We start from the raw sequence: 13,738 nt of genomic DNA on the forward strand, positions 1-13,738 counted from the left end.
GCAATTTCTTTTATGTGCAATTGCTGGGTCCCCTCCCCAGAAGAAAATACAATGCTGTAAGGGTCAAATACCTGGAAAATATCCTAGGTGACATTTAGAAAAAAAAATTTTTTTCACGTAAGTTAATAAGTCAGCAGACTGCTCTCCTCTCTATTCTCAATACCTTGAGAGACTGGCCTGTGTCAGTGGGAAAAGACGGCAATTTGATAAAAGCAGGGTCTATATCACAGGAGATCTGGCCTCCAAATATTCCATTGTACAAATAAACAGAAGAATTTCAATCTTCTTTCCATTCTTAGGGCTCCTAAGAGATCCCCTTCCCTCTCCTATTCAGGGTGGTTTAGCTCTAATTAAATTATTTTCTCTTGTACAAACTAACAGGCTCGTCATTAGCTTCCAGTTAGAAAGATCCTATCATCCTCTTAACCATCTCTATAAGAGCTGGAATGCCTTGACTTTCCCAAGAGAGGAGACAGGGAGAACAGGAACCTCCATCACCCTAGGGCTATTTGGCAATCTTCCCTCTTCTTCCTTCAACACCCCTTTTTGAGGTTAGAGTCATCCTATTCCTTCCTTCTAGGTTCCACTGGAGTCAGAGGGATTAGGCAATGGGGCATGGACTGCAATGCTCCAGCCCCACCCAGGGGTCAGGGCTCACAGCCAGGTTACTCAAACAGAGGTCACTGTGGCTCTCTCCTGCTGCTCAACCCAGGCTGGAGCCGCTAGCCACAGATCTTAGACACACACCACGGGCAAGGACACAGGGGTCTGGCTTTATTGGCTGTAGGGCCAGTTTGGCTGGGCGACTAGGTGGACATTCTAATGACTAAGCACCTTTCCTTAGCCACTCCCAGGGTCAGTTAAGAGACATAGATTTTAAAACCAAGAGAAACAAAACCTAGCAAACAAGAGAGATCCAGAGAGAAAAATACTGTAAAATTTACAGATTAGAATAGACAGTTTTACCTGTACAAGAATCTGTTTTTGATTTCTGCTAAAAATATTGCATATTCATTATATTACCAAACCAAATATTAACCTGACCATGGCTTTCAATAATGGTGTTAGGATAAACCTGTAATTCCTATATCAAGGAATAAAGTCAAATGAAATTAAATATAAATGAAACCAGCATCTTGGACCTTAAGGTCTTCCTAGATGTTTAGGGTTCACTTTAGAATTTCAAGAGTAGCCTATCTCCTTATCCTCCTCTCAATAGAGCCTGCTTTATTTCCCTCAAGTGTTAGTAATCATAATGCGATCCTAATGTATTAGATTTGGTTCCCTACTTTATTTCTAGGCTTTTCAGTTTTGTCTAGTTGATCATATTTTTTGTTTTGTTTTGTTTTTGTTTTTTTAGCTAAAAATGGCCTGTGGATCTATCCTGTGTGATATTTGACATACCCTATTTATATTTAAATAGATGCTTTGAGAAATGTAAGGTTTCCTTTACAATATTCTAAGTTTGGGCAAAGTTCACCATTGCATTAGGGTTGAAGTATAACTGATTATCTAACTTCCATCGCTTCTTCACTTCCTTAAAATTCTTTGATTCAGTATGTGGGGGGAGGGCGAGAAGTTGTTTCTGATCAAAACACTTTTTCTGAAGAATATTCTTTGGTACTGATATACTTCGTCAATATGATTTATAGCAAGATGTGCGCTACACCAGTATTGTGTTAAATGTGCTTCCAGATGACCTAGCCTCTGATCATTTTATTCTTTTTTGATTTTTCAATTGCTCATATAATTCATTTCAAACAAAAGGAAGAAAGTGATCATAGAAATAGGCTAGGTAGCGGGAAAGGAAGACAGAAATGCTTAACAAGTTGCAAACAGGAAAAAGAAATTAGGACAAACGGGCTTCAGAAAAGCCGCAAGCACGCTGGTAAACAAACTTAGGCTGCCCTGGAGCAACCCCCTGTTTGTCTTTGCTTTATGGTGCAATGTAGTCTAGTGGTCTGATCAACTGGGAATCTCAGTTTTGCCTCAGACTCCCTGTTCTGTACTGAATGGCCTTGGACAGGGATCTCTGATGTGAGATAGGCAGGTTTTCAAACTGTGAGGGTCAATGTTTATAAGTGGAAATGTTGCAAAGGGGTGAAGGGCATTATTACAACTAAAGGAAGCACTATTATATAGAAACAATCAAATCAAGGATTTTTTTTTCTGCACATTTAGAGCCAAACACTCAATTTTCCTGCCCTGACAATTTGTTTATTTGTTCGTGTTTGGATTTTATTGAGGTCCCTGATAACACAGGCATTTTGGAAATGGGTGGGAGTATGTGTGAATAGCAAAAGAAATCATCTACTGGCAGGTATTGATAGTTTCTTCTGTTTTGTGCATCCTCTCTTCCTATCCCTAGAACTGATCTCTTTTTTTAAATAAGAATATATATTGTAATGTATATTTTAGATTTTATAATAAGCATGCTTAGTTATTTGCATTTTTCTCAAAATAATATTATATGTACATATTAGTAATCAAGATATTCAAACACATCTTTAGATGAAACCATGTTTAAAGAAAGCTCTACTTCTATTAAAATCCTGCGATACTTAGAGCAGTGCAGTTTAGCCGAGTTTGCTGATGAGTGAAATCCATAAATAGTTAAGAGCCTCCAGCCATGGTAAAGAGGAAGTAAAATAGACTGATCTCATGACCTAAAAACAAAAGCTGCAAAATAATTAACATTTTACTTAGTATTTAAACAAAATATTGTAGAGTGAGAATTTGGTTATATCTGAATTGGATTTTCATCTCAATGTTGGAGTCCAACAGACTTGGAACTATTATGCTTTCTTTTATTTCAAAGTTCAGGCTTTAATAAGAAAATTGTTTCTATTGTTCATTAAATTATATAATCACTTAAGAGGAACTGTATCCAAGTTTTTACCTTTAAGCCTTATGTACAAATTACAAAATGTAAAAGTTAATTCTTTAAAATTTATATTCTGTGTTTAGTAGATTATTTTTTAATGTTGAGTACTGTTTTCCATTTAGAATTCATAGATCTAAATAGTAACAGGCCCTGCTTATCTAGGAGTAAAGGAAGAAAGAAACCTATTCTTGCCTCCAGCTTACCCCAAACATAGAGACTGAAGAAATTAAATTTATTCTAGGCTCTGCTGTACAAAGCCTAGAAAAATAATCTAGCCCAATAGTAATTAGTTTCCCTTTTTCATCTCTCTTCTCTTCGCCTGGCTTCCTTTTTGTCTTTTTTTCTCCTTTTTTTTTCCTTTTTGTTCCAATATATTTGGGTACCTACTGTGTACCCAGCACTGTGATGCTGAGTGCCTTGGAATTAAAAATGAAAAAGATCCAGGGTCAGAGAGCAGACCAGAAAGATGGCAAATGAGAAACCATCTACATATTCCACAAGGTACTGAGAGAGAGCATTAGCAAGACACAGAGATGAGGTTGAGGCGAGCGGATCACCTGAGGTTAGGAGTTCAAGACCAGCCTAGCCAATATGGTGAAAGCCTGTCTCTACTAAAAAATACAAAAAATTAGCCAGGTGTGGTGGCAGGCACCTGTAATCCCAGCTACTTGGGAGGCTGAGGCAGGAGAATCGTTTGAACCTGGGAGACAGAGGTTGCAGTGAGCTGAGATCACGCCATTTGCACTCCAGCCTGGGCAACAGTACTGAAACTCCGTCTCGGGAAAAAAAAAAAAAAGAGAAAAGAAAAAAAGACACATAGATGCAACAGGCTGCAGGACTTAAGGTTTTAAGGAGAGCTTCTTGGAGGAATTGAGCTTTGGAACTAGTTGGTACTAAAAGACAGGTAGCAACTGACCGAGTACATGAAAAGAAATAAGGCAGGGGACAGCATACACAAAGCTTAGAAAGAACATGCAAGTCAATGTGTCTATTTCATTTAGGGGCAGGGGGGAGATGAGTGGGAGCAAGAGATGAAGCTGGAGTCTGACATGGGGTAAAAGCCTTCCATGCCATGCTGTGGAATTTGGATTTATTTCCGTGGGGAATAGGAGCCACAGAAGGTGATTAGATAGAAGAATGACATGACCAGATTTGCATTTTAGAAAAATCACCCTGGCATCTTCTATAAGTCTTATGGGGTTGAAATTGAGTGTTTCTGGGAGATACCATGTCATACGAATGTGAATTTCTTTAAACCTGGGCCTATGCATTCATTCACGCAGCAAACCTTTGTTGAGCACCTATTTAACACAAAGCACCATACTCAGCACTGTGGTAAATACAAAATGGGACAAGATACAGCCAACAGCAAGATTTTCAACATCATACCTAACTACTATCTTTTTTTAAGTGTCTAATGAAAACTTATGGTAGCACAGCCATGCTTATTCATTTACATATTATCTATAGCTGCTTTCCTGCTGCAATGGCAGAGCTGAGCAGTTGTAACAGATGTGGTCTGACCTGCGAAGCCAAAAACATTTGCTCTCTGAACTATTAAAGAATTCTCTTTTTAAGACAGGCTTGCTACTGTCCAAACCTCACCAGTGAACCCCCATGCATTGTCTATAATATCCAATTGGTGTAGAGCTTAATTCCACCATTAAAAAATTTTCTTTGGTTTTGAAATGCAAGAACTCCAATAAGATTAGTAGACTCTATTCTTCCATTTCTTGAAATAATATTTTCCGTGTCAATTACATCTCCCTTGCCATTAACAATTAACAAAAACTGAAAAATAGTAGAGAGTAAAACTTCAGCCTTGTAAGTCTGCATAATTCCCTGGTCTAGATAAATGAATTTCTTTCATGTCTAAGAACATTCAAAGTGCTGAGTTTAATTTAAAAGAAAAATAAAGCTGGTTGAACATTCTCACTCTAATTCTACTTGTAGGAAATAAAGAAGGATAGAAATTAGCACCTATCTCAGTGGAGTGTTTTGAGAAATCACTGCGTGAAAAGATGGACTGTGATCTCAATCAGAAGCCACTGCAATGAGATTTTGGAACCAAATATAGCCCCTAGAGACCAACTTGGCTCTTAAGTAGAAACAATCAATCCTACATTTAAATTTCTGGGGTTTTTATTATAGATAAAAGAAAATCCAAATAACCTTCATTCATGTCTTACGCCAATTTCTTTAGACTTTAGGAATTATGGCACTTGTCTATTATGCAACCTCTTCTAAGGGAACTTACACAAAAATTCCATTTTTCAAAACTTAAGAAAACCTTTTATAATAAAATAGTTTGAAGAAAAACGAAAAACTAATTGGAAACTCACTGGAAATAAGACCACTAGCTGAACCAAATGATTCACATAGAAACAACAATAGAAAGCTAAATGCACAACTTGTGGCTTGTATATTAATAATGCAAGAGCCATATACATTTATTCATAATAATGGACTGAAGATAATTTGCTGTAGAAGAATTGAACCATAACTAATTGTTGCTCTACACATTTTATGTTAGTGTTATAATCTGACGTTATGAAGATTTTCATACTAAAATTTAATGTCAAAATTTCATTCAGTATTAGTGTCTGATTTTTATCTATATGTACAATATACATATCATGGATACTATAACAAATATTGAACATAAACTCTTTTTAGGACACCTTTTAACTTCCTTTTTTATCTTTGATTAAAGTACAGACCCACCATTAACCTAACAAATAGTTCAAATCATTCTGGATCTCCAATTATTAGTCGAGGTTTACTCTATGGGAGAAATAGAATTCTGTTAATTTCTTTGAAGAAATCATCAAAAATAATTATGGAGCCTGGAGAATCTATAAAAATAATATGAAGAGGAGGTTTTCATCTCTAGTGAGTGCTTCAAATTGCTTGAACATTATTTACTCTGCCCAACCACAAGGACAGGGAACCTTCATTGCCTTAAAGCTTCTTCTTCTTTTTTTTTTATTATACTTTAAGTTCTAGGGTACATGTTCACAATGTGCAGGTTTGTTACATATGTATACATGTGCCATGTTGCTGTGCTGCACCCATTAACTTGTCATTTACATATGGATGAAGCTGGAAACCATCATTCTGAGCAAACTATCGCAAGGACAGAAACCAACACTGCATGTTCTCACTCATAGGTGGGAACTGAACAAAGCTTCTTCTATACAGGAAAGTTGGTGCTACAAAACAAAGAGAATACAAGAAAATGCCAACAATGAAAACGGAAATCAAGGAAACAGTAAGAAACAAAACCACCGGTGTTTTTCCTGGTATCCAGATTCTTGACCTGAGAACTTGATTATATCAGTTGCTTAACTTGGGCCTCAGTTTCTTCTCCCTTAAATGTAGATAACAATGGTTGCCTGTACACTTCACTGGTCATTGTGAGTAACAATGAGAAACAATAGAATAAAGGCATAAGTGCATCTCAAGTTGTCAGGTGCTAAATCTTTGTAAGGGTGGTGAGTATTATTCTTCCTGGATGGAGTTCTTTCTCCTCCACTGGTTTATTTTCTTAGTTTCTGAGAATGCATATATTTGTTAATAACTCACCCAGAATGTTGAAGTAAATATTTTTTTAGTCCTTTAATCATCAGAGGAGACATGTTAGCCTGATTAAAATATCTATCCTTGATATCAATCTACTTGCGTATTAGTCTGTTCCCACAGTCAAATGAAAGTATGGCCCTTTTCCGAATTCCAGAAGCTCAAAGCCTTTCATTTCAGCAAATCTATAAACTAGAGAATTTCTTGTCTACAAAGTACTAGTTCATGGTTTGTGGTCCTTTTGACACCTGTGACATTGACTCTCTACAAGATCCTTGAGGGCACAGACTTTTTGTTAGGACAAGTTTTCCAATATCCACCCAGTTGCCACTAGAGTTGTGTTAAAACAGAGTACTGTTGAGATGCCACCCTACTTAAAATCTGTCACTCAACTCATCGAAACTGATTGTTTCGATGCAATTCAGGAAACAGATATTTTGGGTTATATCAGGGCTAGGCTCTGTGCTAGGTACAAAGCAATTCAACAAGGACTTAGATATGATAGGAGCCCTCCAGGAGCCCCTCCTGCTTATGTGATGTTACTCAACTCCACGGGATGGCAGCTGGGCTTTAAAAAATCTTTCTCTAACTTAAAACACAAACCATGTTAAAGGCAGTTTTCAGAAAAATGGAAAAATTTAATATGAGCCTCTATTAGATGATATCTGACCATCTAATAAATTATCATTGATTTTATTTGTGATAATGGCATTGTGATATATAAGAAAATATCCACCTTTTTAGAGATACACATCAAAATCAGAAGATGTAAACTAATAGATGTCTGCAGTATACTTTAAAAAAAAATTAAGCGAAAAAAAGAAAAAACAAAACAAAACAAAACAGGTTGATGAACAAATGGGCCAAAATTTTTTTGAGACCGTGTCTTACTGTGTCACCCAGAGGCTGGAATGCGTTGGTGTGATTATGGCTCACGGCAGCCTTGACCCCCCCGGGCTCAGACAATCCTCCTACCTCAGCCTCCAGTGTAGCTGGAACCACAGGTACACACCACCATGCCTGACTTTTTTTTTTTCATGTTTCATAGAGACCAGGTCTCACTGTGCTGCCTAGGCTGGTCTCAGACTCCTGGGCTCAACCAATCCACACACCTCAGCCTTCCAAAGTGGCAGGATTACAGATGTGAGCCACCATACCTGGCGCCAAATTTTGATAATTGTTAAATGTAAGTAATAGGCCTTTGAGGAATCATTTTATTATTCTCTTTCCTTTTGTGAATTCTTGGAATCTTTCATAATAAACACATTTAAAGAATTGGTTTCCCAAACTTCTAGACTTTTATTCACTTAGGATTAGCCTTAGCACCCATAGCAGTGTGTCCGGAATTGGTGGGTTCTTGGTCTCACTGACTTCAAGAACGAAGCCGCGGACCCTCGCGGTGAGTATTACAGCCCTTAAGGTGGCGCGTCTGGAGTTTGTCCCTTCTGATGTTCAGATGTGTTCGGAGTTTCCTTTTTCTGGTGGGTTCGTGGCCTCGCTGGCTCAGGAGTGAAGCTGCAGACCTTCGCAGTGAGTGTTACAGCTCTTAAGGCAGCGCGTCTGGAGTTGTTCGTTCCTCCCGGTGGGCTCGTGGTCTCGCCGGGCTCAGAACTGAAGCTGCAGATCTTCGCGGTGAGTGTTACAGCTCATAAATGCAGCGTGGACCCAAAGAGTGAGCAATAGCAAGATTTATTGCAAAGAGCGAAAGAACAAAGCTTCCACAGTGTGGAAGGGGACCCGAGCGGGTTGCCAATGCTGGCTCGGGCAGCCTGCGTTTATTCTCTTATTTGGCCCCACCCATATCCTGCTGATTGGTAGAGCCGAGTGGCCTGTTTTGTCGGGGCGCTGATTGGTGCGTTTACAATCCCTGAGCTAGATACAAAGGTTCTCCACGTCCCCATCAGATTAGTTAGATACAGAGTTTGGACACACAGGTTCTCCAAGGCCCCACCAGAGCAGCTAGATACAGAGTGTCGATTGGTGCACTCACAAACCTTGAGCTAAACACAGGGTGCTGATTGGTGTGTTTACAAACCCTGAGCCAGACACAGAGTGCCGATTGGTGTATTTACAAACCTTGAGCTAGACATAAAGGTTCTCCACGTCCTCACCAGAGCAGCTAGATACAGAGTGTCGATTGGTGCACTCACAAACCTTGAGCTAAACACAGGGTGCTGATTGGTGTGTTTACAATCCCTGAGCTAGATATAAAGACTCCCCACATCCCCACCAGACTCAGGAGTCCAGCTGGCTTCACCTAGTGGATCCCGCACCGGGACTGCAGGTGGAGCTGCCTGCCAGTCCTGCGCCGTGCGCTCGCATTCCTCAGCCCTTGGGTGGTCGATGGGACTGGGCGCAGTGGAGTAGGGGGTGGTGCTCCTAGGGGAGGCTCGGGCCGCACAGGAGCCCATGGAGTGGGTGGGAGGCTCAGGCATGGCGGGCTGCAGGTCCCGAGCCCTGCCCCGCGGGAAGGCAGCCAAGGCCCAGCGAGAAATCGAGCACAGTGCCGGTGGGCCGGCACTGCTGGGGGACTCAGTACACCCTCCGCAGCCACTGGCCCGGGTGCTAAGTCCCCCATTGCCCGGGGCCAGCAGGGCTTGCTGGCTGCTCCGAGTGCGGGGCCCACCAAGCCCACGCCCACCCGGAACTCCAGCTGGCCCGCAAGCGCCGCACGCAGCCCCGGTTCCCGCTCGTGCCTCTCCCTCCACACCTCCCTGCAAGCTGAGGGAGTGGGCTCCAGCCTTGGCCAGCCCAGAAAGGGGCTCCCACAGTGCATTGGGGGGGTGGGTGGCTGAAGGGCTCCTCAAATGCCACCGAAGTGGGAGCCCAGGCAGGGGAGGTGCCGAGAGCAAGCGAGGGCTCTGAGGACTGCCAGCATGCTGTCACCTCTCAGCAGGAGCTATGCTCAAGAGTTGTGTCCTCCCACAGTTTCCTCTCCTGACTTGCAATGTCTCCAGGATCCTATTTAATGTAGTCTTTGAAGGCCTCAACATCAGCTCTGCTGGGAAGTCCTTGCTTAATCGCTCAAATAAAACAGACTTTGCCCATCTTTAAGTACTCAGAAGTTGGCTAATTCCTCTATTATGACATTAGTATATTTTCTTATATAAAATATTACTTGTCTTCTTCTCCTGCTGCAGTGGAAACTTTTTAAGATTAGGCAATGTGGCCGGTAGTGGTGGCTCACGTCTGTAATCCCAGCACTTTGGGAGGCTGAGGCGGGTGGATCACCTGAGGTCAGGAGTTCAAGACCAGCCTGGCCAAGATGGTGAAACCCCGTCTCTACTAAAAATACAAAAATTAGCCGGGCGTGGTGGCAGGCACCTGTAATCCCAGCTACTCAGGAGGCTGAGGCAGAGAATTGCTTGAACCTGGAAGGCAGAGGTTGCAGTAAGCCGAGATCGTGCCACTGCATTCCAGCCTGGACGACAGAGCGAGACTCCATCTCTAAAAAAAAAAAAAAACACAAAAAACAAAAAAAACAAAAACAAACAAACAAAAAAGACTGGGCAATGTATTATTTTCATTGTCTTTCTTTCCCCTGACTTTTCACAGGGTCTGACACAGAATCATAAAACCCCTGAAAATGTCTGTGAAATCGTAGAGTTATCACAGTATTCACAGCACAGAGCACATAGCAGGAATGTCATTTCGTGACCTCAAGAAGGATAGCGCCACAAGTATATTTGGGCAGCTAAGCTGTGAAAATTTTATTTTGATTGGAGGAATACAGAACTATGCAAAACTTGGGTGTATTTGTTTAACTTAACCTAGTTACTACAGCAGTTTCTCAAACTTCCTCATTCATTTAGGGGTTTAGGTATTTGATTGACTGGCGCCAGCAAGAACTCATTTTGGAGAGCACCACATACATAACTAGGTCTCATTCAGGCACGGTCCACACTATTCCTATCCACAAAGTGCTTTTGATTTACCGGGAAATCTTTTGACAAAGCTCTTCTCCCTTCAGGGAAGTGTGGGTGGTGGTGGTGGTGCAGGACCTAGAAGCAAAAAAGGGACACTTCTAACAAAGCCGTGAAGTTCTTCTGTGCTGTTATAACGCGATCTACCTAGGTAAAGATTTGCTCTCTACATTTGTTTACAGAAATTGATTCCACAAATCTTTGTAAAGAGGAGTGTTTTAGGGGCAAAACAAATGTGACACTTTCTAAGAGCAAACTCTGTATACGAATTTAGACTTAGTTAAAATAACTAGTTATCATGTGATCTGATCTTAACTGGCTTTTTAAAAGCAGCAAAGGAAATATATTTTGTTAGTTTAGCGTGCTTGTCAGAACTGATCCTGAGACATGGTTTCCTTGGGCACGTGGCGTGTGTTTTGAAAAATCAGCCTCCTTTGGGAATTGTACTCTTAAGATATTTGTTCAGAGATGTTCAAGCTCTCAGTTACAAGATGCTTGAGCCAGAAACAGAAAAGTCTGAGTACAGTGCCATTGTTACATTGTCATGTGCGTCTGTGCGTGTGTATGTGTGTGTGTGTGTGTGTGTGTGTGAGAGAGAGAGAGAGAGAGATAGCTATGATAAAATATGAAAGTGTCATCTTCCTCAAGTAATTCTGACCATCTGTCGTCTCAGCTCATCTTAGGGTCATAGCTGTGTTGTTTCTCTTAGGGCTAAGTTGAGAGTATAATATTAAACAATATAGAATTGATAGCAGGCCCTTTCTTTCCCCACCTCCCCATTGTCCAACTGTATGTACCTGTTCAAAGAACAAAAAACACTATAAATGATAGTATTTGACCACAGATTATGATTTCCAACCTTGCTTGTTTCCTTAGGCCACATTGAAACTGCATCTTTTTTTTTGTCCCTTTAACCCAAAAAGTAATGATGGTGGCTGATGGCACTTGGTAAGGAATTCACCTTTTATAGAGCAATTATTTAATAAGGGTTTAAAATTATTATTATTACAATCACTAAGCAAATTACAGTATATAAAATTTTTTCCAGGCAAAATCCATTAGTCATGATCAAAGATTCCTCAGTACTAAAGACTGTGCATGCATAATAAATATACTTGGGGGTAAATTTGCTTTAGGGGAAAAATGAAGCCTGTAGTTGCTGGATGGAATTATGCGTATTTGAGTTAAAGCACTTTAGCGTCACTATGAGTTGAAGCCAACTGAATCTTATTGTTACAGATAAGTCCCATTTCCTTGAAAATATAAACTATGTATTTGTTATGGGACTTACTTATAGGTGTGCAGAGTCTACCATAGGTTAATCTTTATTGTACAAATCACTTTTGCTTTTATGGGAAGTGCTGTTGTGCTGTACTCTACATGGTTATATAAATTATGCAGTTTAAGGCACAATTAGCATGCATTCTCTCAGCTTATGAATAATAACATTCTTTTAATAACAATATATTTAGACACACATAGAATGAAAGGAGCTTAATGTATCGTTCAAGGTTCTTTCATTGCACAGAATAAGGATGAAATGCTGTTTAGGAACTCAATGAAAATGTTACAAAATATCCTCTTAATCTATAATGTACACATTGTGTATATGACATCCTTGGGACTATGCAATGGAAATAGTGACAAGTAAACAATGAAACAAAAGGAAATCAATTTACCAAACCCAGAAAGGTGAAAGCATTTGGTGAAACACAACTCCACAAAGAAATGTGAAGTGCTGACAGAACTGTTACATAACCTTCAATTTATTTTAATAACACTGGAAGGGCAGATGTCATAGTGGTTCCTGGAAATCTTTTTGAGGTTTCCAGGATGTGTTCCCATTAATTTTTTTTAAAGCACCTACTACATTGTGCAACCTATAACCAGCATTGACTAATTTATATCATGTTCCCTCTTGAGGCTGACTCAGGTCTAGTTCTCCTAAAAGAGAACTGAGCAGGATGTAGGAGTCATATGCAAAGAGGCTTCTCCATGCAGGACAGAACACAGCCTCAGGAAGGTCACAGGGGTCAAGCTGATTACCTCCTCCAGCTCTGGCAAGCAGAGGGCTCAGCTGGGTTACCCAAGTTCACAAGAGCTATTGACATTCAGCTGTAGCTCCCACTCATTATGGGATCAGCAGGGGACTGTCTGGGCCTCCTGTTAACTCTTCTGTGCCCTGTTTTAAGATTGCAGTGAGGTCAAAAAGGAAGCCATCAGGTAGCTTTGCCTCAACTTCTTAATAGTTATGATTCAAGAAATGAATCTTTTAAACCAGTGTCTAATAAACCTTTTACAAGTGGATGCCTGCAACCAATCATTTCAAAAGCTCTGGATAAAACGCAAGTAAATATGTTTGTTCATGATGCAGTAAATGTTTATTTCCTAGACTGAAATGGAAATGGGGAGGATATGTTTTCTCTTCCCACCAAGAATAATTCCCACTTTGTCTTTAATAAGGAAGGCCACACATGATTTTTAAAGAGATAATAGCAGCACTATTGTCACTTAAAAGTGCATGTTTTCCCTGAGTTGCTCGTGTAAAACTAACCTCAGAGAGAACTTTAACAACTCATCATCTAAGAAGTGAAGTCACAGTTTTACAGAAGTTCAGAAGCTCTCTATTAGGTTACAGACATGGAGCTCTAAGTGGTAAGCCTGTTCCTTCAGGCTTTGATCTCCTGCTGACACATTATGATCTTCTAGAAGTGACTTAACCTCTTTGCCTCTATGAACTCATTTGTAAATGGAGAATAATAGTTAATTAATCCACGAAGCATGTCTCTGTGGTAGCAATGGGAAGACTGACTCTCTGTTACACCCAAGGGCCTCTAAGTCATCTATCTTTCCTAGTTCTTCCTTTTTTAGCGTTATACTGGCCCTAGAACACACATTATGCTGAATCCTTGGTTCTCCTCTTTTATTCCTAATTGCTCCCGCAAATGGTTGAGTATCTGTACACAGTTGGGGTTAGTTTTCATTCAACTACTATATTTAAAAAGTATTAAGCTTCTTTTAAGGGCCAAGAGCTTGTAAGACAAAAGCTGTACCCTAAAGGAGGTTAGAGTTTAGCCAGAAGACATGGAATTATAAGCAATGTGGTCAATTCCAGGAATCCACCTAAATAATTCAGAGTCCAGGTGGATTTGGGGAGTTAGGAGTTATCTAGTTTGATTTCTGGCTTTGTCAGATGATCTAGCTGACTGCCAAATCTACACTTGACCCAAAGACACAAAAGACTATCTACATAGACTCGTTCAATCTTGACTTTAATCACAAATGCAAACAGAAATTCCTTGATCTACCTCTTTCTGTAACATTTGACACTGTTGGCCATTCTCTCTATTAT

The 13,738-nt window shown here is 40.2% G+C and overlaps 2 annotated features.

Moving 5' to 3' along the window:
• Window positions 492-884: a transcriptional cis regulatory region, noted in NCBI's record as "candidate enhancer chr21.79 targeted for multiplex CRISPR interference". NCBI's record gives its function as "positively regulates NRIP1 gene expression in K562 cells {active_cell/tissue: K562}" and the evidence as "EXISTENCE:mutant phenotype evidence [ECO:0000015][PMID:30612741]".
• Window positions 12,220-12,809: an enhancer, noted in NCBI's record as "OCT4-NANOG hESC enhancer chr21:16594333-16594922 (GRCh37/hg19 assembly coordinates)". NCBI's record gives its function as "activates a minimal SCP1, AML or CMV promoter by ChIP-STARR-seq in naive H9 embryonic stem cells {active_cell/tissue: H9 hESC(naive)}" and the evidence as "EXISTENCE:reporter gene assay evidence [ECO:0000049][PMID:30033119]".

This window comes from Homo sapiens, chromosome 21 (genome assembly GCF_000001405.40).
Source record: "Homo sapiens chromosome 21, GRCh38.p14 Primary Assembly".
Lineage (NCBI taxonomy): Eukaryota > Metazoa > Chordata > Mammalia > Primates > Hominidae > Homo > Homo sapiens.